Source organism: Homo sapiens, chromosome 16 (assembly GCF_000001405.40).
Source record: "Homo sapiens chromosome 16, GRCh38.p14 Primary Assembly".
Classification (NCBI taxonomy): Eukaryota; Metazoa; Chordata; class Mammalia; order Primates; family Hominidae; genus Homo; species Homo sapiens.
In genome coordinates this window covers 12,712,606-12,740,240 of record NC_000016.10, presented here as the reverse complement: position 1 = coordinate 12,740,240, position 27,635 = coordinate 12,712,606, and the positions used below count along the sequence as shown (strand labels likewise).

At 45.0% G+C, this 27,635-nt stretch overlaps 1 protein-coding gene and 1 non-coding gene across 3 annotated transcripts in view, besides 1 other annotated feature; one reads left to right on the top strand and one right to left on the bottom strand.

The window, feature by feature from the left end:
* CPPED1 (calcineurin like phosphoesterase domain containing 1) overlaps positions 1-27,635 on the top strand; it is a 144,089-nt gene that overhangs the window by 63,647 nt on the left and 52,807 nt on the right. The window lies entirely within an intron of this gene.
* Positions 19,870-19,920, bottom strand: MIR4718 (microRNA 4718). The gene has a single exon (NR_039869.1). It is a non-coding gene; the product is annotated as a microRNA 4718 (primary transcript).
* Positions 23,235-23,529: an enhancer, noted in NCBI's record as "tiled region #10358; K562 Activating non-DNase unmatched - State 16:ElonW". NCBI's record gives its function as "activates a minimal TATA promoter and a strong SV40 promoter by Sharpr-MPRA in K562 cells {active_cell/tissue: K562}" and the evidence as "EXISTENCE:reporter gene assay evidence [ECO:0000049][PMID:27701403]".

The following is a 27,635-nucleotide window of genomic DNA, read 5'->3' as shown; positions in this document are numbered from 1 at the left end:
CTCCTGACCTCAGGTACCCGCCCACCTCAGCCTCCCAAAATGCTGGGATTACAGCCATGAGCCACTGCGCCCGGCCTAAAAAGTATCTTAAATAAAGCAGGGCTGGCTCGCTCTTTCTTTCCTTTCTTTCCTTTCCTTCCTTTCCTTCCTTTCCTTTCTTTCCTTTCTTTTTTTCTTTTCTCCTTCCTTTTCTTTTCTTTTCTTTTCTTTTCTTTCTTTCGTCTTTCTTTCCACATAATAACAAGGCTAGGCAGCTCCGACCATTGACTTATTTGGTTTACACTGTCATGACCAGTGTCTCTGCCAATTTCTTGTTATTTTCCTCATGGTTGCAAAATGGCTGCTGTAGCCCAGCCATCACCTCACTGTTTAAGAGAAGAAGGCAGGAAGGGAGGCAGTACCACTGACACCTAACCCTTTTATCAAGAAACCAAAAGTTTCCCTGGAATCCCCCAGCCAATTTCTCCTCATGTCTCCTTGCCACTTGGCCACCTCTAACTAGAGAGGAGGCTGCGAACCATGTTGTTGCTTTGGCATCCTCTATACTAGAGGCAAAAATGGGAGAAAAAGGAGGAAATGAGAGAGAGGTTAGCCTACTCGTAGCAATCTGCCCCACTCTTGCAGCCCCAGTGTTTACTCGAACAAGCACTTTTTTTTTTGAAATGGAGTTTTGCTCTTGTTGTCCAGACTGGAGGGCAATGGTGTGATCTTGGCTCACTGTAACCTCCGCCTCCCAGGTTCAAGTGATTCTCCTGCCTCAGCCTCCTGAGTAGCTGGGATTACAGGCGCCTGCCACCATGCCCAACTAATATTTTGTATTTTTAGTAGAGACAGAGTTTCACCATGTTGGCCAACCTGGTCTTGAACTCCTGACCTCAGGTGATCCACCCGCCTCAGCCTCCCAAAGTGCTGTGATTACAGGCGTGAGCCACTGTGCCTGGCCAGCACTTTGGTATTAATGGACAGGTAGAAAAAACTCACTTGCTTGGACTGTTTGTCCATTCATTTATCCATTCATTTAGTGTCCAGGGCAAGCCAGTCTCTCTACTACTTATTCTACATGCACACTTTCTTATTCTCATGACCATTCTGTCCAGTGAGGCGCTACTATTTTTATTTTGGGATTAGAAACAATCTCAGGAAGAATCAATACCTTACTTAAGGTTACACAGCTCGGTAAGCAGCAGACCCAAGACTCAATGCGAAAGCCGCCTCCCTCCCAAACCCACTCACCCTTCACCGTGTGGTGCTAACCTCCCTGAGCAAGCACTGCTGATCCTGGGATCAGAGTAGGAAAACTCCTTCATTTAACTTTTCTCTACCAGGAGGTAATGATCATTAGCCTGCCAGGGTTTAGCTGCTACATTAAACATGTTTTGGCAAAACAGTTTGCTAATAATATTGCAACTGAACAAAATATATTGAATCTGTAATTTGGGGTGATTTTATATTTGGGGCCTAACTAGATGACATTCGTTTTATGAGTAGGGTTATAATTTTTAGCAGGACCTTGTATGGTAGGCTACTAAATTACCCAGAGGTTAGTCCATACCCATAAACTCTCTAAATAATTTGAATAATTTTTTTCCTGTTTAAGTAGGTAAGGCACTTTGCTAGGAGATTTTGCTTTTACTTTCTTATTCCTGAAAAATCTCAGCATTCTTGCTTCTGAATAAATGAATCAGTGGTCATCTGTATTCATGTCCACAGCTTACAGTTACACATTTGTGAACTAAAATATTCAGAGACATTTCATCTCTGCAACATTTTTTTTAATAATAAGCAGGTGTGTGTGTGTGCGCGAGTGTGTGTGTGTGATTATAAAAGTAATAGATATGCAATCAAAAGACATTTTGGAAGAAGAGAGGAAAATCACTCGTAATTCTGTACCACCCAGAGGTAATAACTATTAACATTGTTGGCATATTTCCTTCCTAATTTTTAAAAATTTTTTTTGCATAGCTGAGTTCCTACATTATTTGCGGTTTTGTGTGCTGCAATTTTTCATATAATATCAACAACCTCCTTATTATTACAAGCATCATTGTGAACGGCTGCGTAATGTCCTTTCATTAAGAACACAACAATCCTTTACTGGGCTGCTCTTCTCGTGATGCACATTCGGATTATCTCCCGGATACATGAATTCTTAACATTTTCTAAAGAAAGAATAATCCAAGCCACGACGCATCTGCCAACAGGCCCTCTACCTGCGTCGGGTACCGTGTTAACCACTTATCCCCAGGAAGGCGTCAGTCATTATCATTTCCATGATGACTTTGTCCTGGTAGAACAGGATGCTGGCAATTTTTATACTTTAAAAAATGACCGGATTCCTCGGTTTTGCAGGCAGGGGTCCCCTGACACAGGGAAGATGAATGCCAAGAAGACCAAGAAGAGAGAGAGAAAATTGCTCAAATGTTCCCTCCAGCCGCTCCCTCCCACTGTTCCTTATCTGGCAGCCACTCTGGCGACCTCAGAGCCCTTTTGCTGCGCAGCTCCAGTGTCCCTTTTCTTCTCATGGCTCAGCAGCCCCTCTGACCACTGCAGCCTCACACAGTTCCTAGAATTCTTCAGGGGGGCAAGAGTAAGCTGCTCAGACCATGTGTTAACTTCAGTCTTCCAAAATATTGTGGCCAATAAAAGCATTGTAGCCAGAGAGGTTATTCAAACGCTCAGCCCTGAGTATGCCCTTGCCTGCTTAAAACCCTCCAGGGGCTGCCGGTTGCTCTGAGAATCCAGACAGGTCCCTGCATGGGAACCACAAGGCTCTGCCTGATCTGGCCCTGCCTGCTGTATCTCCTGTCACTCTGGGCCCCACCTGTAAGGGGTGCTTTTTGGTTCCTCTGTGTCCTTTTCACATTCTGTTCCCTCTTCCTACACACTGTTCCCTCTGCCTGCTCTCCCTTCTTCTCCTTCTTCCCATGAATTTGGACTGCCTGCTTGTCCTTCAGATCTTTGTTGCCCTACACCTTCAAGTTGTTGCTCAAATGTTACCTTTTCATTGAAATGATCTCTGATTTTTTTTATTATTATTATTATTATTTTTTTGAGACATGGTCTCACTCTCTCGCCCAGACTGGAGTGCAATGGCACAATCTCAGCTCACTGCAACCTCCACCTCCCGGGTTCAAGAGATTCTCCTGCCTCAGCCTCCTGAGTAGCTGGGACTGCAGGTGTGCGCCATCGCACCCAGCTAATTTTTGTATTTTTAGTAGAGACAGGGTTTTACCATGTTAGCCAGGCTGGTCTGAAACTCCTGACCTCAAGTGATCCACCCACCTGGGCCTCCCAAGGTGCTGGGATTACAGGGGTGAGCCACCGCACCCATCTGATGATCTCTGATTTTAGAGTTGCAGCTCTTCCCCTCCCCACTGCCTTCCCACTTGGTTTCCCTCCGTAACACTTAGCACCATCTAATATACTGCCTGCTTTACCTATTAGCTGCACTGATCATCCATCTTTCTCCATTAAAACATAAGCTCCATGAAGGCAGACACTTTTGTTGTATTCTTAGTGCCTAGAATCTTAGTGTTTAGATTGCCTAGCATTCTGTAAATAATGGTTAAGCAAATGGAAGAATACTGAATCTAAGTCTCTCCTCCTCCCTTTTCTTTGTATTCACTTCTATGGGCTAGAATTTACTTTGATTCCCTTCAACACAACAGCTAGAAGTTTCCAGACAATGAAAGCCAAAATCCAGGCCAGGTGCGGTGGCTCACACCTATAATCCCAGCCCTTTGGGAGGCCGAGGCAGGTAGATCACATGAGGCCAGGAGCTTGAGACCAGCCTAGCCAACATGGCAAAACCTGTCTCTACTAAAAATACAAAAATTAGCCAGGCATGGTGGTATGTGCCTGTAATCTTAGCTACCCGGGAGGTATGAGAATCACTCGAACCTGGGAGGTGGAGGTTGCAGTGAGCCAAGATCATGCCATTGCACTCCAGCCTGGGCATCAGAGTGAGACTCCATCTCAAAAAAAAAAAAAAAATCCAAAGGTGTTTAACCTTTTCTTCATCTGCTGATGGAGTTTAGTAATACTTGCATATGATCTACACAGTCTACAGCCCACTTCTGAGTTTGGGGCTCCTCTGAAGGCCCAAGCTTCCCTAGATATAAGGACTGCCCCATGCCCTGCTCACCCTTACAAAGTCAGAACAGAATACAGAAGTGCCAGGCACCAAGCTCCGTCAGGCTCCAGGGCCCAGGGGATCTTGCTTCCTAGGTGGGAGGTGACCTGATCCCTTTATGCACTGGACTAAAGTGACGGCCCATAATGGTCTCCAGGTGTAACCCTCTTCCACCATTAGGGGCAGTTTAAATATAACTTTCTTTCCTTACTGGGGCACTGGGGATGCAGGCCTCTTTTTAGTCTCATGCAAAACATTTAAACAGCATGTGAGCATAATGTCTGGACAGAGAGAGACTTCTCACGGCACCTTTGCAAACAAGTCATGTTCTCTTCCCCTGATTTATTTTATTTGTAATAACTAACATTTATATAGGGCTTGCTGTGTTCCAGGCATTGTTCTAAGCTCTTTGCAGAGACGAACTTACTGAATCTTCATAACAATCCTATGAAGCAGGTGGTATAGTTATACATATTGTTACACTAAGTGTAATTTATCTTTAGGGTGCCAGGCACGGTGGCTCGTGCCTGTAATCCCAGCACTTTGGGATGCAAGGTGGGCTGATCACTTGAGGTCAAGAGTTTGAGGCCAGCCTGGCCAACATGGTGAAACCTCGCCTGTAATAAAAATACAAAAATTAGCCAGGGACGGTAATGTGCGCCTGTAATCCCATCTACTCAGGAGGCTGAGGCGGAACGCTAAGGCGGGAGAATCAGTTGAACCCAGGAGGTGGAGTTTGCAGTGAGCCGAGATCATGCCACTGTGCTCTAGCCTGGGCAACAGAGCAAGACTCCATCTAAAAAAAATATATATATTTTTGGGGAAGGGGCCATTGGATCTTGGTGCAAAATACTTTATTGTCATAGTCTACTCATCCCATTCTCTTTTCCCAAGAGAAAGGCAAAAATAATCATTGGTCCATGGAGTATGTTGGGAGCAGATTTTCAGGTCCATAAAAGGGAATTTGTACCCGATATCACCTGGACATCCGTGCACTTGGGACAGTGGCAACACAAGCCTTCCCTAGCTCTCTGCTGCTGGTGACCCTCCAGATAGTACTCCCGGCTGCTTCTCTGCCTGTTGGTGGGGTTCACCCTATTGCCCTGGCTTTGACCCAAGATCTGTCTTGAGCCTCCCTGCCTTGCCTGGTCTCTGCAGTCTGGTGATGGGCATGGGAGAGCTGGGGAGTGCTAGGTAAGACAGGATCCCTTTACCACCTGACCCAGGTTCATCCCTGTGTTCCTCGAGGCTTGCACTTGGATTGTGATTTTTGTGGGGTGCAAGTCCTGATTCATGGTGTCCTGTGTTCCTGTGGGGAGACCATGAGAGGACTCATCTCTCTGATGAGTGATGCCATGGGAACCCTGTAGACTCATAGGGGAGTGGAACCACATCCTGAGGCCAGACATTTAAATACCTTTGGGGAAGAGGAAAATTATTTGCTAGTTAAAAAATTATTCCCAGCACTTTGGGAGGCCGACGTGGGCGGATCATGAGGTCAGGAGATCAAGACCATCCTGGCTAACACGGTGAAACCCCGTCTCTACTAAAAATCCAGAAAATTAGCCGGGGACAGTGGCTGGCGCCCGTAGTCCCAGCTACTTGGGAGGCTGAGGCAGGAGAATGGTGTGAACCCAGGAGGCGGAGCTTGCAGTGAGCTGAGATAGCACCACTGCACTCCAGCCTGGGCGACAAGAGCGAGACTCCGTCTCAAAAACAAAAAAAAAAAATTATTGTGTGGCCAGGTGCAGTGACTCATGCCTGTAATTCCAGCACTTCAGGAGGCCGAGGTGGGCAGATCACTTGAGGCCAGGAGTTCGAGATCAGGCTGGCCAACATCGCAAAGCCCCGTTTCTACTAAATATACAAAAATTAGCTGGGCATGGTGGTGCATGCTTGTAATCCCAGCAACTTGGAAGGCGGAGGCAGGAGAATCGCTTGAACCCGGGAAGCAGAGGTTGCAGTGACCCGAGATCGTGCCACTGCACTCCAGCCTGGGTGACAGAGCATGACTCGTCTCAAAAAAAAAAAAAAAAAAAAAAAAAAAAAACGTGTAATTTGAAAACAGAGACAAAGACAAATTATTGTCCTGTAATTATTGCCAACTAGAAGCAATTAATTGTGTAATGCTTTCTACAGGTTATGGAATTGCTGTTTTATAGGAAGCAAAAACGAGGTTATGATTTAGTTTTTTTTTCATTTTGTTTTCTGTCTTTATTCACGTTATAAATGCATGCAGATTAAGAAGTCAAGTAGCTGTACCCAGCAAGTTTTACAAAGCAGCAGTGCACAACTCCTCATTGGCCTGTTGCTCACTTCTAGAGGCAGCCACCCTCGTGAGTTGAGCTAATTTTGTGGATATTCACTTCCATTGTTCTAAACAACATGCTTGTGTTGATGTTTCTAGATCTTACTTACTGTTATGTATTGAATTTGTGTCCTGGAGAATGAGGATTTAGCTCTGTCCTTCTCTCCATCCCACTCCCACATTTCTTCCCCGTGTCTTTCCAGTGTCGTTAAATCCTAATTTGGTTGGCTGCATGCAGTGCCTCACACCTGTAATCCCAGCACTTTGGGAGGCCAAGGCGGGCGGATCACCTGAGGTCACAAGTTCAAGACCAGCCTGGCCAACATGCTGAAACCCTGTCTCTACTAAAAATACAAAAATTAGCCGAATGTGGTGGCGGGCGCCTGTAATCCTAACTACTCAGGAGACTGAGGCATGAGAATCTCTCGAATCTGGGAGGCAGAGGTTGCAGTGAGCCGAGATTGTGCCACTGCATTCCAGCCTGGGTGACAGTACAAGACTCTGTCTCAAAAAAAAAAAAAAAAAATTCCTAATTCGGGTCGTATCAGCATTTAGTATTTATAATATCTTGCCTGTACATATGTTATTTTAAACATCATTCACAACAGAGCCACATTGTAGGCATGGTTATTTTTCCTGCATGCTTTATTTGTTGTGGTTTTAAAATTGCTTTAAGTTTTTGAAGAGTGCTAATTCAACCTCAGACTCTTCTTCCAAAAGTCTGAGCTTACCAATTTCCCGTCAATAAATTTAAAATAATAACCAATCTCAGCTTTTTGGTGAAATTTCTCCTGGAGCTATTTCCTGATTGCTTGCTCTGTAGGCCTGCTAACAGCTGTGATCTTAGGATTTCTGTGTCTAGTCTAGGAACCATCTGTGCTTCTCTCTCATGTTGGATCTACCTTTGCCTCCTTTTTAGATGGATCCTATTGTCCAGTAGCTTCTGGAGAAGAAATTGCACCAAAAATGTCTTCATTCCACCCTCACATTAAAGTGATAGTTTGATAGTTTGGCTGGGTATAGAATGATAGGTGAGGAGTTATTTTTCTCTCAGAATTTTGAAGGCTTTGTCTCCTTGCCTTTGTTCTTTCAGTATGGATTTTAAGAAGTTCAATTTTATTTTGATTGTTGATCTTTTATATGAAACCAGAAACACATAGGATCTTCTCTTTGCATCCAGGGTTCTACAATAATACTGTGAGGGACTTTGGTATGAGTCCGTTTAAACTCATGCCCTTTTGTTCTCGGAAGTCCTTTTGAATTATTTCATCCTCTCTCTCTGTCTCTCTCTCTCTCTCTCTCTCTCCATCTGTGTGTGTGTGTGTTTGTGTGTTTGTGTGTGTGTGTGTTGTGTGTGGGCAGGGGAGCTCCCCTATACTGTGGTACTCATAGTCTACAAATATTGGACCTCTTGTTCTGGTCCTCAAATATTATTTCCTTTTTTTTTTTTCACTTCCTTGCTCACTCTACTTTTTGAGATGATTCCTCACCTTATCTTCTAAGCCTTCTACCGAGCTTTTCATTTTTGCTACCATAGTTTTAATTTTCAAGAGCTTTTTTTTTTTTCATTATTCCTTTTCAAAATAGCATCCTGTAATTGGTTGATTAATGCAGTATCTTCTCTGTCTGAGAATGCTAATGATTTTTTTTTTTTGACGGGTTTCACGTTTGTCATCCAGGCTGGAGTGCGATTTCGGCTCACTGCAACCTCTGCCCCCCAGGCGATTCTACTGCCCCAGCCTCCTGAGTAGCTGGGATTACAGGCGTGTGCCACTACGCCCAGCTACTTTTTGTATTTTTAGTAGAGACCGGGTTTTGCCCTTTTGGCCAGGCTGGTCTCCAACACCTGACCTCAGGTGATCCACCCACCTTGGCCTCCCAAAGTGCTAGTATTACAAGCGTGAGCCACCACACCCAGCCTGCTAATGGTTTTTTTTTTCCTCCTCCCCATATCGCCTCTGTTTCTTACCATTGGGGTTGTTTTGTTCTTTTTTTTCATATTAGACACATTGCTCATACATCTAATGGTCCTTGGCTGCCTGCTTCCATTTAAAAGTGCAATTTAAAAAAAAAAAAGAATGAAAAAGAGTACAGCACAGAAAAACTGACAAATGCGGGGGAGGGAGGCCTTCTCGCCCACGGCCTTCACCATCGCGTGATGAAGGCTCCCCATTTCCGTATTATCGGTGGCTTTTGGTTGTTTCTTTTTGGCTCTCAGATTCCCCAGAGACCACTCCTGTTGGAGGGCTCTGCCTGGCTTCTTTCGCTCTAAGTGTTCTAGGAGCCAAATGGAAGGAAAAGACTCCATCCTGAAATCCAGGGTAAAACTTTCATCTTTATCCCCTTGTTTTCCCCGGGGGACCCATGCCCCAGCAGTCTCTGCTGCCTCTCAGAACTTCTTTGTTTACTCTTTTTTTTTTTTAATTAAAAAAAATTTTTCTAATGCAGTGAAACCCCGTCTCTACTAACAATACAAAAAATCAGCCAGGCGTGGTGGCGGGTGCCTGTGGTCCCAGCTACTCGGGAGGCTGAGGCAGGGGAATGGCATGAACCCGGGGGGTGGAGCTTGCAGTGAGCCGAGATCGCGCCACTGCACTCCAGCCTGGGAGACAGAGCAAGACTCTGCCTCAAAAAAAAAAAAAAAATTTTTTTTTTTGAAGAGACAGGGTCTCCATATGTTGCCCAGGCTGGTCTCGAACTCCTGGGCTCAAGTGATCCTCCCACCTTGGCCTTCCAAAGTGCTGGGACCTTTGTTTACTCTTTATAAAGACTAAAAGTCCCATCTTCTGCCAGGGTGAGAAGGACAGTGGTCAAGCTTCATGCAGTTTCAAGCCATCTTTCTGTTTTAGCTCTCTTTTTATTCCTATACCCAAGGATAGCTAAAAATTGAGGTTTCTCAGGAACTAAAATGCGGGTAATGTGAAGTAAAGAGCTGGAGCATGTGAACTCATCCTTTCCCCACCACTCGAGTTGAGATGTGGAACATTTGCCAGACTCCAGAAGGCTCCCTCGTGCGCCTTCTCTGTCAGTCAACGTTCTGTCACCAGGACTAGTTGGGTTTGCTTGTTCTTGAGCTTCATAAAAATGAAATCATGCGGTATTGACTCTTGTGTCTTCTGGCTTCTTTCGCTGTATGTGATGTCTGAGATTCATCTGTGTTATTACATGTAGCAGCAATTGGTTCTGTGTTATAGCCATGTAGTATACCATCTAATGAACAGATCACAAATTATTTACCCACTCCACTGCTAATGGATCTCTAGGTTATTTCTACTTGGGGGCTATTGTGAATAAAGCTGCCAAGAGCATTCTGGTTCCTATCTTTTAATAGACCAACACCCTCATTTCTCTGGGTATATTCCAAGGAGTGGAATTACTGGGTCATCGGGAAGATGTGGGTTTGTCTTTGGCAAATACTGCCTGAGAGTTTTCCAAAGCCAGTTGATTCTTGACTTTTCTCGCTGCCAGCTGAATATTTAACTTAAACTAAGTCAGCTGCAGCTTGGCACAGTGGCTTACACCTGTAATCCGAACACTTTGGGAGGCCAAGGTGGGAGGATTGCTTGAGGCTCATAGTTCAAGACTAGCCAGGGCAACATAGGAAGACCCTTTCTCTCCAAAAAAATTTTAAAAAAAATTAGCTGGCCGTGGTGGCTCACACGTGTAATCCCAGCAACTCGGGAGGCTAAGGCAAGAGGATTGCTTCAGGCCAAGAGTTTGAAACCAGCCTGGGCAACATAGCAAGGCCCCATCTCTACACAAAATTTGAAAATCAGCCAGGCATGGTGGCATGTGTCTATAGTCCCAGAACCTTGGGAGGCTGAGCTGGGAGGATAACTTGAGCCCAGGAGGTTGAGGTTGCAGTGAGCTGTGGTCACGCCGCTGTACTCCAGCCTCGGCAACAGAGTGAGACTCCCATCTCAAAAGAAGCAATAATAACTCAGCTAAGCCCATTGCTACTTGTCCATGTACTTTCCAGTTTCCAAATTCTGTGGCTGTTCTCTCCTGTTTGTCCTTGAGAGTTTCCTGCCTTTACAGTGGGATTTGTGGAAGGAACAAAGCTGAATGTGTTTTCAATCTACTATATTTAACTGGAAACCTTTATTATGACTTTAAGATGGCTTTTTAGCTCTCTCAGTCTCCCCAGACAGAATACCCTTGTGTTTCCTCTGAGTCATTTCTGCTCAGTGGCTTTATAAAAACAAAATTTTAATGCCTCCGCCTCTCACCAGTACTCCAGACGTCGTTTTCTGCAGTCTGCATTGCCAACAAGATGACAACACGATTCTGATTCCACATCTTTATTAGATAGAATGATTAATAAACAGTTCAAACTGAAGGTACAGTCTGTGGGATGCTTTCTCTTAAATGTTTTTTTCTTGAGTTTGCAAAAATCTTTGTATACAATTATATGGACATTTAAGCTGATCACGTTCTTCAAGTCCAGGCAAATAAAAACGTCTTAACCTTAAACCTTGTAATGTCCCCAAATTAACCTTGTAATATTAATAATATCCCTGGGTCCCAGGTATTCCCCTGGCCCTTGGAGCCATCTTCACTATTTTGGTTAGGGTATGCCAGGGCTAGGAGGCACAGCTGAACTTCTAGAGACCTGAGTTGGATGTCAGATCAGGTTTTCCCAAAGAACTAATGATATATGCTGGACTCTCCACACCTCTCACCCCAGGGCTCCCTCTGGGGCTTCCTCCAGCACAGAGATGGTGACAGGCAGATCAGAAATTGCAAGGAGGACTCACAGACACCCATGTTTCCAGTGATGGTGACCTCACCAGCAGAGAACAAGTATACTTAGTGCCAAGATGCTCCTAAGCTCACAGACAGGGGGTCCCATTCACTTACTATCCAGGTCCCGCCCCAGTGAGCTCACCGTTTGTCCTCTGCTTCAATTCTTTGAACACTTTTTGAAGAGACAGGGTCTCCGTATGTTGCCCAAGCTGGGCTCGAACTCCTGGGCCTTGCCTCTCGCCTCACAGAACCCTCTTGCCTCACAGAACTGGCCAGGCCTCACTGCTCCTCCCTGGTTATAGCTCACTTCATTTGATGTCGTTGTACTCATTAAAATAGTATTAGCACAAGGAGAGGCCCCAGCCACCTGGTCAGCCAGGAATGTAGCATCTTGTTGTAGAGTAACAGGCTAGGAAGGTTGCAATCATGCAAGTAAAGTGCTCAGTGCCTGCCATGTGGTAAGAGTTTCATGAGTGATCGCTAGTATATTCATGATTTATTCTGTAGAGTGACTTTCTGGGCAGCTCAGGAAATGTTTTGCTTCACTTGGTCACACCCAAATTGTAATTGGCTCCTCTCAATCTTTCTCGGGGGATCTCAAGATTATAAGCAACCTGTAATCCTTTCTTCATCTCTTTTGCTTTTTTATGTATCAGGGATATGTTATCCTAAATCTACGAATTCAGTATATTTTATTTCTATTAATATAACAAATAGTATTTCTCAGTATAGATAATCACATAATTATACCTCTACGGACCCTCTAATCAAAGGCATTTAATATGCTTATTACTGTACGTAATACATTTCTCCCCTCTCTTACACTGAATTCCCTTATGATCATTGCTATTACACCTGTGGGTATAAATAGCAGTTAGGTTTTTATACTTGCTGATAAGAGCAATTTTGAAAAGCGGAAAAAGACACAAAATCCAGCAATAATAACAGAAATTGCAAATATTTCGCTGGGAAAGTAAACCATGCAGCAAGGGAAGGAAGCGTGATTGTAAATGAAGTTGAATTAGTGTATTCATCTGCATTGTGAATTAATTCAGTTTGTATGAGTTAGCCTGAGATCTCACCATCAGTTATAACGTGATCTCTATGACAAAACATAGTTGCATTCCAGGCAGCCAGTTTATGAACAAATTTTTGCATACCATACATTTGTAAGGTGAAGATGACTGTAGGAGAATAATAGTATGTTATAATTCTGGTGTCTTTGCTTTTTAATACTACTGGCTGCTGCAAGGGGGGATAATTTACGAACTGTGTGTTCATAAGTCCGTGTTGTAATGTTCTTTAGTGCAGGGTTATGATGGATTCAGAAGTTGTATAGCCTTGTCATTATTTGAGGAATTAACATTACTCCATCAGATTAAAATGTTTGAATTCAGATGGCTTTCGGTCAGGCATGGTGGTTCATGCCTGTAATCCCTACACTTTGGGAGGCCAAAGTGTGAGGATCACTCAAGCCCAGGAGTTCAAGACCAACCTGAGCAACATAGACCCCATCTCTACAAAACTTTTAACAATTAGCCAGATGTGGTGGTATACGCCTGTGGTCTCAGCTACTCGAGAGGCTGAGGTGGGAGGATGGCTTGATCCCAGGAGGTCGAGTCTGTAGTGAATTATGGTCATGCCACTGCACTCCAGCCTGGGCAGCAGAGCAAGATTGTATCTCAACAAACAAAGAAACAAAAGGCTTTGATATCCAGACTCTCCCCTACAGTTCTAGGGACCTCCTTGATAACCTCTGGGATTTGATCATTGAGTGTTACTGTTTTCCCTGTCGCCACCAGCCAGAATGCCTGTTGCCACCAGCCAGAATGCCTATCTGGATAATTAAACTGGAGACATTCCAACAGTGTCTAAAACCCCTCTATACTGGACACACATTTGGTTGTACTCTACTGAACTGAATGTGGCCAACGCAGGGCTCCAGTTGTATATGGTCTAAAGCCTGCGAGAGTTATTTGCTCTTCATCATCACTTAGTCAACGGTTCCTTGACAGGTGCTGTGAGGATGGTCCTTAGAAATGAGGGGCAGCGTCCTTCCCCTGACAGCTCTGGCATAAGCCTCATGTGCACATTCTGAGCTTCACAGGCATGGTGAGCATCCCATTCACCACCCTCTCCCAGGCACCTAGCCCCGTACACTAACACCATTTTTTTCCTCTATTCTTTGAAGATAAAGTACACTATTGCTGCTTTATTTTTATTTTATTTATTTATTTATTTATTTTGAGACAGGGTCTTGCTCTGTCACCCAGGCTGGAGTACAGTGGTGCCAACACAGCTAACTGCAGCCTCAACATCCTGCGTTCAAGCCATCCTCCCACCTCAGCCTCCCGAGTAGCTGGAACCACAGGCATGCCCCACCACACCTGGCTAATTTTTAAATTTTTTGTAGGCCTGGTGCAGTGGCTTACGCCTGTAATCCTAGCACTTTGAGAGGCCGAGGTGGGCAGATCACTTGAGGTCAGGAGTTCAAGACCAGCCTGCCCAACAGGGTGAAACCCCGTCTCTACTAAAAATTCAAAAATTAGCTGGGTGTGGTGATATGTGCCTGTGGTCTCAGCTACTTGGGAGGCTGAGGTAGGAGAATCGCTTGAACCCAGGAGGTAGAGATTGTAGTGAGCTGAGATCACCCCACTGCACTCCAGCCTGGGCAACAGAGTGAGACTCTGTATTAAAAAAAAAAAAAAAAAAAAGGGCTGGGTGCAGTGGCTCACACCTGTTATCCCAGCACTTTGGGAGGCTGAGGCGGGCAAATCACGAGGTCAGGAGTTCAAGACCAGCTTGGCCAACACAGTGATACCCCATCTCTACTAAAAATACAAAAATTATCTGGGCATGGTGACGTGCACCTGTAATCCCAGCTACTCGGGAGGCTGAGGCAGGAGGATCGTTTGAACCCAGGAGGCAGAGGTTGTGGTAAGCCAAGATTGTGCCATTGCACTCCAGCTTGGGCGACAGAGTGAGACTTCATCTCATAAAAAAAAAATGATTTTTTCTTTTTTAGAGATGGGATCTCCCTATGTTGCCCTGGCTGGTCTTGAACTCCTGGGCTCAAGCCATCCTCCTGCCTCAGCCTCCCCAGCCTCAGTGCTGGGATTATAGGCATGAGCCACTGTAGCTGACCTATTGCTGCTTTATACCTAGAGAAATTAAGACAGCACACAGCTAGGTAAGAGGTGGTGTCAAAGTGACAGAGGTATTGTCAAGATGAAATATATGTGAAATACTTGGCCTTGGTGCCCTGGCAGATGGAAGCACTCGCTAAAGATATCTAAGACGTGTTTTCATTCATTGTGGCACACAAGATTACAGCTAGTGGTCACTGAGAGAGATTTGAACACGAGGTCTCCACACTTCCCCCCGTCTCTACCTGTGGTCCTTTTGACAAATCAGTTCCCAGGCTGACCTTCTGTGGCTGTGCTGGACCCCCTGCAGCTGAACCCTGAGTCCTCATTCCTCCCTCCCCTCTCCCCATATGACTGCACTAAGCCTCAGTTTTCTCATCCGTAAATGGTTGTGGTGGAATAAAGGGATTGATGCTGCGTGAATCCAAAGTAGTGTGAAAAAAATAAAAGCCTATCTTGTAAGTGATCTTCACTTACAAGTCCCTTCAAAGTAAACACTTGTCAAGAATCATGTTGGCTGGGCACAGTGGCTTATGCCTGTAATCCCAACACTTTGGGATTACAGTTAGCCAGATCACTTGAGGTCAGGAGTTCGAGACCACCCTGGCCAACATGGCAAAACCCCCATCTCTACTAAAAATACAAAAATTAGCCAGGTGTGGTGGCACATGCCTGTAATCCCAGCTACTTGGGAGGCTGAGGCACGAGAATCACTTGAACCTGAGAGGCAGATGCTGCAGTGAGCTGAGATCACACCACACTGCACTCTAGCCTGGGTGACAGAGTAAGACTCCATCTCAAACAAAACAAAAAGAATCATGTTGGCCAGGCGCAGTAAGTCACACCTGTAATCCCAGCACTTTGGGAGGCCAAGGCAGGTGGATCACGAGGTCAGGAGATCGAGACTATCCTGGCTAACACAGTGCAACCCCGTCTCTACTAAAAATACAAAAAATTAGCCGGGCGTGGTGGCAGGTGCCTGTAGTCCCAGCTACTCGGGAGGCTGAGGCAGGAGAATGGCGTGAACCCGAGAGGCTGAGCTTGCGGTGAGCCGAGATCACGCCACTGCACTCTAGTCTGGGTGACAGAGTGACACTCCGTCTCAAAAAAAAAGAAAAAGAATCGTGTCATTTCAGAGCTGGTAATGAGTAGATGCAAAACGCTTTCCATTCTCTTGCAAAATGGCATGGACACTTCAGCTGGTAACGGAAATACACCCTTCTGTTGCAGAATTAGTCTTGAAATGTTCAAGCCTTGAAATGGGCAAGGTTTTCCAGAAGGATCTCTTGCATAAGATACCACAAGTCCATCTACAGCACCAGGGAAGGGATGATGTAAGGTGTCAGTGGGATAAGGGATCTGAAGATGAGATGAGTGCGGGAAGCTGTAAGCCGTTTGTGATTGGAAGAGGCCAGGCTGGTGACAGCTGAAAGAGCCACTGCTGGCAGCTGCGCGATAATGGATTGCACGGGCCACTCATGGAAGTGACAGGCTGGTCAGGAGGTTATTGTTTCCCCGGCAGTGAGCTGTAGCCCCGGGAGAAGGAGTGTGCTCTTGCCAGTTCTGCAAGGCAAGAGGGATGGGTAAAGTGTGTGAGGAATTGAAGCAGAGGACAGAGGGTGAGCTCACTGGGGTAGGACCTGGGTAGTAAGTCAGTGGGACCCCCAGAGTCTGTGAGTTCGGGGACGTCTTAGCACTGAGCATGCCTCTTCTTGTCTGCCATCCAGGCCGCCACCACTGTGAACACAGGAGGTGTCTGTGACCCCTTCCTTGTCATTCCTGACCTGGAGGAAGCCCCAGAGGGAACCTGGGGGCCGGAGTGGGGGGTGGTTTGCATACATCACAAGTTATTTGGGGAAGTATGCTCTGATTTAGGCAAAGGAAACCATGCACCATGAAGGGCTTGAGAGACGTTTGGGAAGTGTGATCCCCAAGACATGGTGGTGGCTGGGTATGAGGGTGGCAGGAAGGGAGTGGTCAGGGATCAGATCTCTGAGTCAGGCAGCTGGGTGGATGGCAGCTTTTCCCCGTGTGGTGGAGGCAGTGGCATGGGCAGAAACCAGTGGGGAGAAGTGAGGCATGCTACAAACCCACGTCCTATCCCATGGCAGCTGGCAGAATTTTCCAAAGAGCATTCCTTCTCCCAGAGCATCAGGAGGCTTCAGGTAAGAGAAGCACAGCTGCTCCGACCACACCTCACTGTCGTCCCTCCCTGGGAGTGAATTCCTTTTCTGTAAGGCTGGAAGGACCACAGGATTGGGGGTATACACAGCAGAAATTTGCTTTCTCACCGTTCTGGAAGCTGGAAGCCTGAGACCAAAGTGTTGGTAGATCGATTCCTTCCGAGGCCTCTCTCCTTGCCTTGCAGATGGCCGACTTCTCCCTGTATCCTCACATGGTCTTCCTCTCTGCAGCTGTGTTCTCATTAATCCCCTTGTCTTATAACAACTCCAGTCAGGCTGAACTAAGGCTCACCCTAACGACCTCACTTTAACTTACTTACCTTGTTGGAGACCCCGTGTCCAGTTGCAGTCATATGATGAGGTACTGGGGTCAGGACTTCAAATAGGAATTTTCAGGGACATAGTTCATCCAGAACAGGCATATCCTGCCCATTGCAGCTTCACAGATTGCAGTAAGCCAGAAGTCACACCTGTAATTGCCTAAGGCTCGCCCACTGCTCTGTTAGGGGAAGAGGCTATAGAAGACAAAGGAATGACACCCTGTGTGCATGTGTATGTGTGCACTATATGTGTGCATTGTGTACATGCGTGTGCATGTGCGGTGTGTGTGCGCACATACGGAAGTTAGATGGGAGCCGGGTGGAGACGTTGCCGACCCTCCTGTTCTCATCAGAAAGCCTGGACTGATGAGGAAGGATTCTGAGAGAGCCCCGCTGATAACCCACTCCTGAAATAGGGGTGAGGAGAGTCAAGAAGTGGGTATCCCGATGTCTTCCTGTTAATTTCTGCCCTCAGCTCATTTCACATTAGACCAACCCACACACATCTACTGAGCATCTTTATTGTGCAATGAAAATACACTGGAGCCTGCATCTTACTGCACCACCCAGCCTTGGGGTCCGTGGGAAAGCCAGTGGCTAGAATCCCTGGGAGAAAGAAACCCCTGAAAGCCAGGGCAGGCTGAGGAAACTATGCTGGTGGGAAGGGATTTTTTTTTCTTGAGACAGGGCTTCATTCTGTCATCCAGGTTGGAGTCCAGTGGTGCAATGACAGCTCACTGCAGACTTGACCTCCCCAGGCTCAGGTGAGCCTCCTGCCTCACGCTGGGACTACAGGTGCACACCACCACACCTAACTAATTTTTGTATTTTTGTAGAGACAGGGTCTCGCCGTGTTGCCCAGGCTGGTCTGAACTCTGGGGCTCCAGCGATCCGCTTTCCTTGGCCTCCCAAAGTGCTGGGATTACAGGCGTGAGCCACCGCGCCCAGCTGGGAAAGGATTTGACAAAGTATGGCAGCAGTCTTTCCAGCAGGAAATTCTTCCTCATTGCAAACTGTCATTCGTCTGGCTGCCCTGCAGCCTGCCTCAGCTGGAGAAATCATTTGGTTTGCAACTAACTGCTCGGCATCTACTTACCTGAGGGCGATATTGATTTTGTTGTTCTTTTGGCTGCTGCTTATATTGAGCTGGGAAGTCCACTCGCTGCCACCCCGAATGAGTAAAAGGCTCCATTAGTGGCCTGTTACATCACCTGACTGTTTCTCCGCTTACTAAGGTTGTCCTGCTATTTAATTTAAAATTTTCCAGCAGTGGCTGAGTGTATCATCATCAGTTCTCCTTTGAGTTGCCGTGCCTTCAGGGAATAGGGATTAGCGAGGTCTTATTTTCTTTAACTAAGCAGCATCTTTTCTTGTCTGTTTGCCTCAGAGAACATTGGTTTGCTTGTTCTTGCTGGGAAAAAAAAACATTCTTACTAAGACAGTAAATGGATTCATAACACAGTTGAAGTCTATTCACAGAATCTGTTATTTAGACAACCTCCATAGCGGAGAGAAAATATTTTGAAGGTCTCAGAGGTGGTTGGTTTTTAAAAATTATTTGCTAGTAGAATCTTAGCAGCTCTGCATATTGCTGGCTGGGATGGTCTGGTTGTTATTTATTTATTTATTTATTTTGCCTTTTTTTTTTTTTTAAGACGGAATCTTGCTCTGTCACCCAGGCTAGAGTGCAGTGGTGTGATCTTGGCTCACTGCAACCTTCGTCTCCCAGGTTCAAGTGGATTCTCCCGCCACAGCCTCACAAGTAGCTGGGACTACAGGTGCCCGCTACCATGCCCGGCTAATTTTTTTATTTTTAGTAGGGACGAGGTTTCACCATGTTGGTCAGGCTGGTCTGGAACTCCTGACCTCAGGAGATGCGCCTGCCTCAGCCTCCCAAAGTGCTGGCATTACAGGCGTAAGCCATCCTGCCCAGCCCCGGCCTCCTTTTTTTGTATTTTTTCTCTACTCCTAGTTCCAGCAAGCAGAGGGGTGGTCTGGTTGAATGGGAAGGTCAACACTTGGGTTTGCCATTTGTTTCTCGTTCTGTCTGTTTTATAACCGGGTTATATTCCTTGGTACTTTGCAGCAGTTTCCTTCTTCTTTTACCCTCAGAGAGAAACACAAAATGTGTATCATCTTGATGTCTTGGGCTTGGCAGGTAAGTACTAAGTTTCCGTGGTATCTGCCTGTCTTTCTGATTGAGATGGACTTTCAGTGAAGCATAGTGGTCATTTTCCCTTCAGAAGATAGAGCCTTAATCTGAAAAAAATAATCGTGGTAACGTGGACACCTATGTTCTTGGAAATGAAGTCACTCCACCTGGGTTCCCAGTAAACGATAAATTGTAGTATATTAAAATCCTAAGAAAAGCTTTGTGGCCAAGAGCTCATCCTATCCATCTAGGGCTTTACCAGTGGCTTCTGAAATACTATGGCAACATGCCATTCATAGCCATCCTAGGGACATTCCAAATCTTGTTTACTTTTAGTCCCCCATGCCAAAACAGTTTAACTGAGGGATAAATGAATTGGGCATGGGATTTTTATCCTAATAACATATAATTTTGTTTATTTGTGTTGAGCTGTAAACTAAGCTTTGCACAGAATTTGTATAAAATAAAACAGTTTGGGCTGGGCACGATGGCGCACGCCTGTAATCCCAGCACTTTTGAAGGCCAAGACGGGCAGATCACCTGAGGTCAACCAGCCTGGCCAACATGGTGAAACCCTGTCTCCACTAAAAATACAAAAATTAGCCAAGTGTGGTGGTGCACACCTGTAGTACCAGATACTCAGGAGGCTGAGTCAGGAGAATCGCTTGAATCCAGGAGGCAGAGGTTTCAGTGAGCCAAGATTGCGCCAGTGCACTCCAGCCTGGGCAATAGAGCAAGACTCAGTCTCAAAATAAATAATAAATAAAATAATAAAACACTTTGTTAATATCAAAGGTAAAGGTACAGAAAACAAGAAGTTTCCTTCACTGAAGCACAAATCCTTTGGTGTGCGGGATTTGAACACCTCTTTAGGAAAAGCTTGCTAGTAACTGAAGCCAAGTCACAAACAGGTGCTTGGTTTCAGGTACAGCTACAAAGAACACAGAAGAGAAGCTGACACTTTTGTATTTTTAGGGCAAAGGCTTCTTTCTCCAAGGCTGAAAAAGGCCTGGTCCCACACTGCTCTGATTGATTTATCTGGGGTGCCATCTCCTGGGGAGAAAACCATTGCCACACACTCACCAAACCAAGAGCGTATCTCTCTCGGGAAGACAGGATCGGTGTGAAGGCATCTGTGCTCTCCTGTCTAGGCCTGTCCAGAACTATATGAAGTCATCCAGTTTTGTTCAGTTTTAATAATGGCCTGATAAAAACAGATAGGTGTGTGTGTATGTGTGTGTGTGTGTGCACATAGTGTAATGGACATATAATTAACGTACACGTATTTATATAGGTGTTTAAATTTTTTTTTTTTCTGTGATGGAGTTTTGCTCTTGTCGCCTAGGCTGGAGTACAGTGGCATGATCTCAGCTCACTGCAACCTCTGCCTCCTGGGTTCAAGCAATTCTCCTGCCTCACCCTCCAGAGTAGCTGGGACTTACAGGACTGTGCCACCACGCCCGGCTAATTTTTGTATTTTTAGTAGAGACAGGCTTTTGCCGTGTTGGCCAGGCTGGTCTTGAACTCCTGATCTCAGGTGATCCACATGCCTTGGCCTTCCAAAGTGCTGGGATTACAGGCGTGAGTGACCGCGCCTGGCCTAAAGGTGTTTAATTTTTAAGGTCATTTGTGCGTATGGAGGGAAAAATCAAATCCTATATATAGGTAAGGTATATAAGGACATGGTAAGTCAATCTTTCCGTCTTCGCTCCTGGAGACCACATCCAGTTTCTTGGGTATCTTTCCAAGAGACATTTCTAGGCATATTTGCATAATCCCCACGTGTCAAGGAGGTGGTGCTAGGTGGACATAATTGAATCATGGGGGCGGTTTCCTCCATACTGTTCTTTTTTTTTTTTTTTTGAGACGCAGTCTCGCTCTTTCGCCCAGGCCAGCATGCAGTGGCGCTATCTCGGCTCACTGCAAGCTCCGCCTCCTGGGTTCACGCCATTCTCCTGCCTCAGCTTCCCGAGTAGCTGGGACTACAGGCGCCCGCCACCGCACCTGGCTAATTTTTTGTGTTTTTAGTAGAGTCGGGGTTTCACCGTGTTAGCCAGGATGGTCTCGATCTCCTGACCTTGTGATCCGCCCACCTCAGCCTCCCAGTCCATACTGTTCTTATGGTAGTGAATAAGTCTCAGGAGATCTGATGGTTTTATAAGGGGTTTTTCCCTTTTCTCTTGGTTCTCATTCTCCCTTGCCTGCCGCCATGTAAGACATGCCTTTCACCTTCTGCCATGATTGTGAGGCCTCCCCAGCCACATGAAACTATTAGCCCGTGAAACTTTTTTGCTTAAGAATCTTGCGCTGCCACCCAGGCTGGAGTGCAGTGGAAGGATCTCAGCTCACTGCAACCTACCCCTCCTGGGTTCAAATGATTCTCCTGCCTCAGCCTACCAAATAGCTGCTATTATTGGTGCATGCCACTACGCCCAGCTATTTTTTGTATTTTTAGTAGAGACAGGGTTTCACCATATTGGCCAGGCTGGTCTTGAACTCCTGACCTCAAGTGATCTGCCCACCTCAGCCTCCCAAGGTGTTGGAATTACAGGCGTGAGCCACCGCTCCCAGCTGAATGTGCATTTTCAGATTTGAATAAAAGAAACCATTTACATCCCAGCCAGCCATATAAGAGAATCCCTGTATCCCCATGCTCTCACCAACAAATCGTATTATCAACACCTTTTTTTTCTTTCTTTTTTTTTTTTTTTTTTTAAGACAGAGTCTTGCTCTGTCACCCAGGCTGCAATGCAGTGGCACAATTTCGGCTCACTACAACCTCGGCCTCCCAGGTTCAAGTGATCCTCCAGCCTCAGCCTCTCAAGTAGCTGGGACTATAGGCACCTGCCACCAGGCCCAGCTAGTTTTTGTATTTTTAATAGAGACAAGGTTTCACCATGTTGGCCAAGCTGGTCTCGAACTCCTGACCTCAAATGATCCGCCCGCCTTGGCCTGCCAAAGTGCTAGGATTACAGACATAAGCCACTGCGCCTGGCCAATCTACAGTTTTTGATTGTTGCCAGTGTGATAGATATCACATCAAGAAAAACGTGGCCAAGCTGACTCACTGCTTAAGGGATTGGACCTGAAGTCATAATCTTGTATCTCAACATTGAAATTCATGGAGCTAACTGTAGCTCTCTTCTCTTCCCCTGACAGAGTTCTTGCTGTATCTACTGGTGGTGCTGACCAGGAGACAGTGTAGTCTTTCCCATTCTTAGCTGAAAACACCAGCTCTGGAGTCAGACTGGGTTAACCCAGATGGGACTTGAGTTTACGAAGGGTAAATTTGATAAGAAAAATATAGGAACAAGTCGGGTGCAGTGGCTCACGCCTGTAATCACAGCACTTTGAGAGGCGGAGGTGAGCAGATCACTTGAGGTCAGGAGTTCGAGACTAGCCTGGCCAACATGGTGAAACCCTGCCTCTACTAAAAGTACAAAAATTAGCTGGGCATGGTGACAGGCTCCTGTAATCCCAGCTACTTGGGAGGCTGAGGCAAGAGAATCACTTGAACCCAGGAGGTGGAGGTTGTAGGGAGCCAAGATTTGTGCCTCTGTACTCCCGCCTGTGCAACAGAGCGAGACTCTGTCTCAAAAATAATAATTATTATTATGTGTGTGTGTGTCTGTCTGTCTCTATTTCAACACAAGTATTGCCTGGAATATAGTTACACTAAAAAATGATCCCAGCCGGGCACGGTGGCTCACGCCTGTAATCCTAGCACTTTGGGAGGCCGAAGCAGGCAGGTCACGAGGTCAGGAGATTGAGACCATCCTGGCTAACACGGTGAAACCCTGTCTGTACTAAAAATACAAAAAAATTAGCCAGGCGCAGTGGCGGGCGCCTGTAGTCCCAGCTACTCGGGAGACTGAGGCAGGAGAATGGCGCGAACCTGGGAGGCGCAGCTTGCAGTGAGCCGAGATGGCGCCGCTGCACTCCAGCCTGGGCGACAAAGCGAGACTCCGCCTCAAAGAAAAAAAGATCCCAATAGGATTCTTATAGATTCAGATGAGATAATCTGTGTAGAGTACTTAGCCTGGTACATAGTTGGTGCTTCAGAAACCCAAGTTCTTTTTATTACTCTGATTTGTTTACTCTTTACTGCCCCACTTTCCAAAAGGCTCCCTGGTCTTTTTTTTAAACCTCTCCACCCTCACCCTACTATTACCTTTGGTTAGGAAAGCCCCCTCCCCACCTTCTTTCCCCCTGTTCAGCAGGCCCTAGTTCCACCTAAGCCCTGTGATGTTTGGTGGGAATGTTGCTTCTTCTGGGAAAGCTCTGGGGTGCCTCCCAACTGGCTTAGTTACCCCCACCCTGAGCTTCCACGGCACCCAGTGCTTCCGTGTCGTAACTTCATAACTCATGCAACACCACAAGGTCATTGCCTGTTCCCATGTCTGGGCCCCTCCCTAGAACTTGGGCCATTGAGAACAAAGACACTGTCTCAGTCATGCTGTTACCTAGCACACAGTGGGTAGCAGGGGTGCATTGAATAAATGCCTACCTGAAGACAAATAATTTTTATGTTTCTAGCCCTGTAATGACTAAGCCTGCTCAGATTCTGCCTCTGGCTTTGAAAGAGCAGTATCTATATATGGAGTTTAACTGTAAAACTCTTAATTGACTTTTCATTAGGTTGCGTATTTAAAATCCCAAATAGGACTGAAGTTTTAGGGGCGTAGCCACAAACACCTGAGTTCAGACTGTAGCATGGAATCTTAAAGTAAAAAAAGGCAGTCATTCTAAATAAGACTTGTTCGTGGATCTGACACCCCAGAATCTCTAAACAGAAATGAATTGTGCTCTTTCCTTCCAGCGAAGGGACTTGGCAGTAGTGAATCTGCATGTAATTGTCCTGGAACTTCTTCGTCCCTGGATATCACATTGTGCATCATTAGCCTTGAGCAATGCCTCATGTGTACCAAGTGCCCAGAAGCAATTTGTTAAATGGAATATTCTATGATTAAGTGTGTACATACCTTATAGCAGCACCAGCGTTAGCGCTAAAGAAGGTAAATACAGGAGAGGTGATCACTTTGGAGGAAAAATAATTTATGGAAGACCTTGACCAGAAGTAACATGTCCAGTGACATTCACAATTACATATTTTTCTCTTTCATGGTTTTTCATTTAAGCAGAATAAAGCTTACACATATGTAGATGGTTGTCTTCTTTTCTGTGCCCGGTATCATAGTTCTGTTCAGTCCATGTTACTTCTTGGCTAAAAACCATAAAATCACTACCTTGCCAACCCTTCTCCCTCTACTCTCTTCCCTCTAAACCAGGGGTGTCCAGTCTTTTGGCTTCCCTGGGCCACTTTACAAGAAGAATTGTCTTGGGCCACACATAAAATACATTCAGAGCCATCCTGGGCTGCATACGGGCTGCAGGTTGGACAAGCTTCCTTAAAACCATCCCATTGGGGCTGAGAGTGGTGGCTCATGCCTGTAATCCCGGCACTTTGGGACGGTGAAGCTGGAGGATCACCTGAGGTCGGGGGTTCGAGACCAGCCTGACCAACATGGAGAAACTCCGTCTCTACTAAAAGTACAAAATTATCTGGAAGATAGCTTAGCTTTTTTTGTTTGTTTGAGATGGAGTCTCGCTCTGTTGCTCAGGCTGGAGTGCAGTGGCATGATCTTAGCTCACTGCAACCTCCACCTCCCCAGTTCAAGCAATTTTCCTGCCTCAGCCTCCCGAGTAGCTGGGGTTACAGATGTGTGCCACCATGCCTGCCTAATTTTTGTACTTTTAGTAGAGATGGGGTTTCAACATGTTGGCCAGGCTAGTCTCGAACTCTTGACCTCAAGTGATCTGCCCACCTCAGCCTCCCAGAGTGCTGGGATTACAGACGTGAGCCTCCACACCCAGCCTAAAAGCTATAAGCTGCTTAAGTGTTGGACCTTGATCTTATTTCTCCTTGATTACACAGTTACCACAAGCTGATCCTAAATTTTATATGAAAATTATGTGGGCCCAGAATAGCGAAAACAACCTTGAAAAGGAAGAATAAAGTTGGAAGACTCACAGTTTCTGATTTCAAACTTACTAGAAGCCTGCAGTCATCAAAACACTATGGTACTGGCATGAAGATAAACATAGAGATTAATGGATTAGAATTGAGAATCCAGAAATCCTCACATTTAGGGTCAATGGATTTTTGACAAGGGCGCCAAGACAATTCAATGGGGAAAGGGTAGTCTTTTCAACAAATGGTGCAGGGACATCTGGATATCCACATGCAAAAGAGTGAATTTGGACCCCTACCTCACACCATATTAAAAAAAAAAATGAACTCAAAATGGATCAAAGCCCAAAGAAGAGCTAAAACTAGAAAACTGTTAGAAGAAAGCATAGGCAGAAATCTTTGTGATCCTCTATTGGAAAGTGATTTCTTAGATATAACGCTAAAAGCACAGGTGACAAAACAGAAAATAGATAAATTGGACTTTATGAAACTTGAATATTTTGTACCTCAAAGGACATTATCAAAAAAGTGAAAAGACAGCCCACCAAATGGGAGGGAATACTTGCAAATCCTGTATCTGATAAAGATCTGGTATTCATAATATGTAAAGAACTCTTACAACTAAATATTAATAATGAAAAGACAAATAACCCAACTGAAAAATGGGCAAAGTATCTGAATAGACATTTCTCCAAAGAAGATATAAAAATTGCCAGTAAGCACAACAACAAATGTTTAGCATCATTAGTCATTATGTAAATGCAAATAGAAACCACAATGAAATTTTACCTCACACCTACTAAGATGGCTACAATTAAAAGGGTGAAAAATAACAAGTGTTGAGGATGTGGAAACATTGGGACCCTCATACATTGCTGGTAGGAATGTAGGATGGTGCTTTGGAAGACAGTCTGCTAGCTTCTTAAAGAAGTAAACACATATAGTTACCATGTAACTCAGAGTTTCACTCCTAGGTATACACTCAAGAGAGATGAAAGATATCCACACATCTTTTCACATGTGAAAAACTTGCACGTGGATTTTTATAGCAGCATAATTCATAATAGCCAGAAAGTAGAAACAACCCAAACGTCCATCAGTAGATGAATGGATAAACAAAATATGATGATATATTCATACAGTAGAATAGTATTCAGCAATTAAAGAATGAAGCACTAACATAGGCTACAAAATAGATGAACCTTGAAAACATCATGCAAAGTGAAAGATCAGTAACAAAAGCCTACATTTTATATGATTCTATTTCTATGAAATGCCTGGAGTGGAGAAATCTATAGAAGGTAGATTAGTGATTGCTTAGAATTAGGGTGGTGGGAGTTGGGGGGCAATGGGGAAGGGCTGCTAATGGGTGAAAGTTCATTTTGGGGTGGTGAGAATGTCCCACAATTGATTTTCATGACAGTCCACAACTCTTTGAATATTCTAAAAACATACCTTCAGAGGATGAATTATATTGTTTGTGTATTTATATCTCAAGCTGTTATTAGTGGAGGGGAGATTAGGAAAAAGTCTAATTTTGGGTCTCCTGGGGGCAGCAATAATGAAAAAAAAATTGAGAAACACATATCATATTTTAGTAAGATTGAAGAAACGAGATTTATAGCCAGGTGTGGTGGCTCACACCTGTAATTCTAGCACTTTAAGAGGCTGAGGCAGGCAGATCACCTGAGATCAGGAGTTCAAGACTGGCCAGTATGATGAAACCCCGTCTCTACTAAAAGTACAAAAATTGGCTGGGTGTTGTGGCACATGCCTGTAATCCCAGCTACTCAGGAGGTTGAGGCAGGAGAATCGCATGAACCCAGGAGGCAGAGATTGCAGCAAGCCGAGATTGCGCCACTGCACTCCAGCCTGCGTGACAGAGCGAGACTCCATCTCAAAAAAAATAAAAAATAAAAAAGAAGAAACTAGATTTAAAAGACCAGGACAACCACCTTCTCCTTTGATGCTATTTCATTCAGATATCAAAATAGTAGCAGAGACATTGTGCTGCCTCTGATACTCACTAGGTGTTGACGTTTAAAGTCATCTGCTCTAGAAGAAAACTCTCTTTTTGAAAATGTAATTATTCAGATTCAGAAAGAACACAATTCGTCCTGAGCACAATTTTTTATACATTTTTTTAAATTGAATTTACCCACTGCGATTTTTTTTTTTAAGAACTTATTTCGAAATACCTTTCTGGTACTCTCTTTTCCCCATTTTCTCTCTTTCTGAGAGTAAAGAACAGTACTTACACAATTGGCCTTGTCACTTGTTTTACATTTGTTCCCATTTTATTTAAATGTATACTTGTTTACTTAACAAGATCTAATTTTAGTGCATCTGTGATTTTTTAATGTCTTGATTATTTTTCTATAATGAAAGTAACTTATGCTCATAAAAAATTAAGTTTTTCAGGAAACTGAAATGTTTTCTGTCCTTCCACTTCCCCACAGACAGGTACTATTAACAGTTTTGCCATGTTTTTCTAGATATTTTTATCTCTGAATATACCAACTCGTAGATTTATTTTTAATAAAATTGTGTCGTACTACTAGCTCTAATAACTTCCTGTTTTCACTTACTGTCCCCCACTGCCAGCCAACCCTTGCTCCCCAAACCTTAACAGTGCACCTTTTCTATATATCCGTGGCCACTAAATTCGGATCTCCTT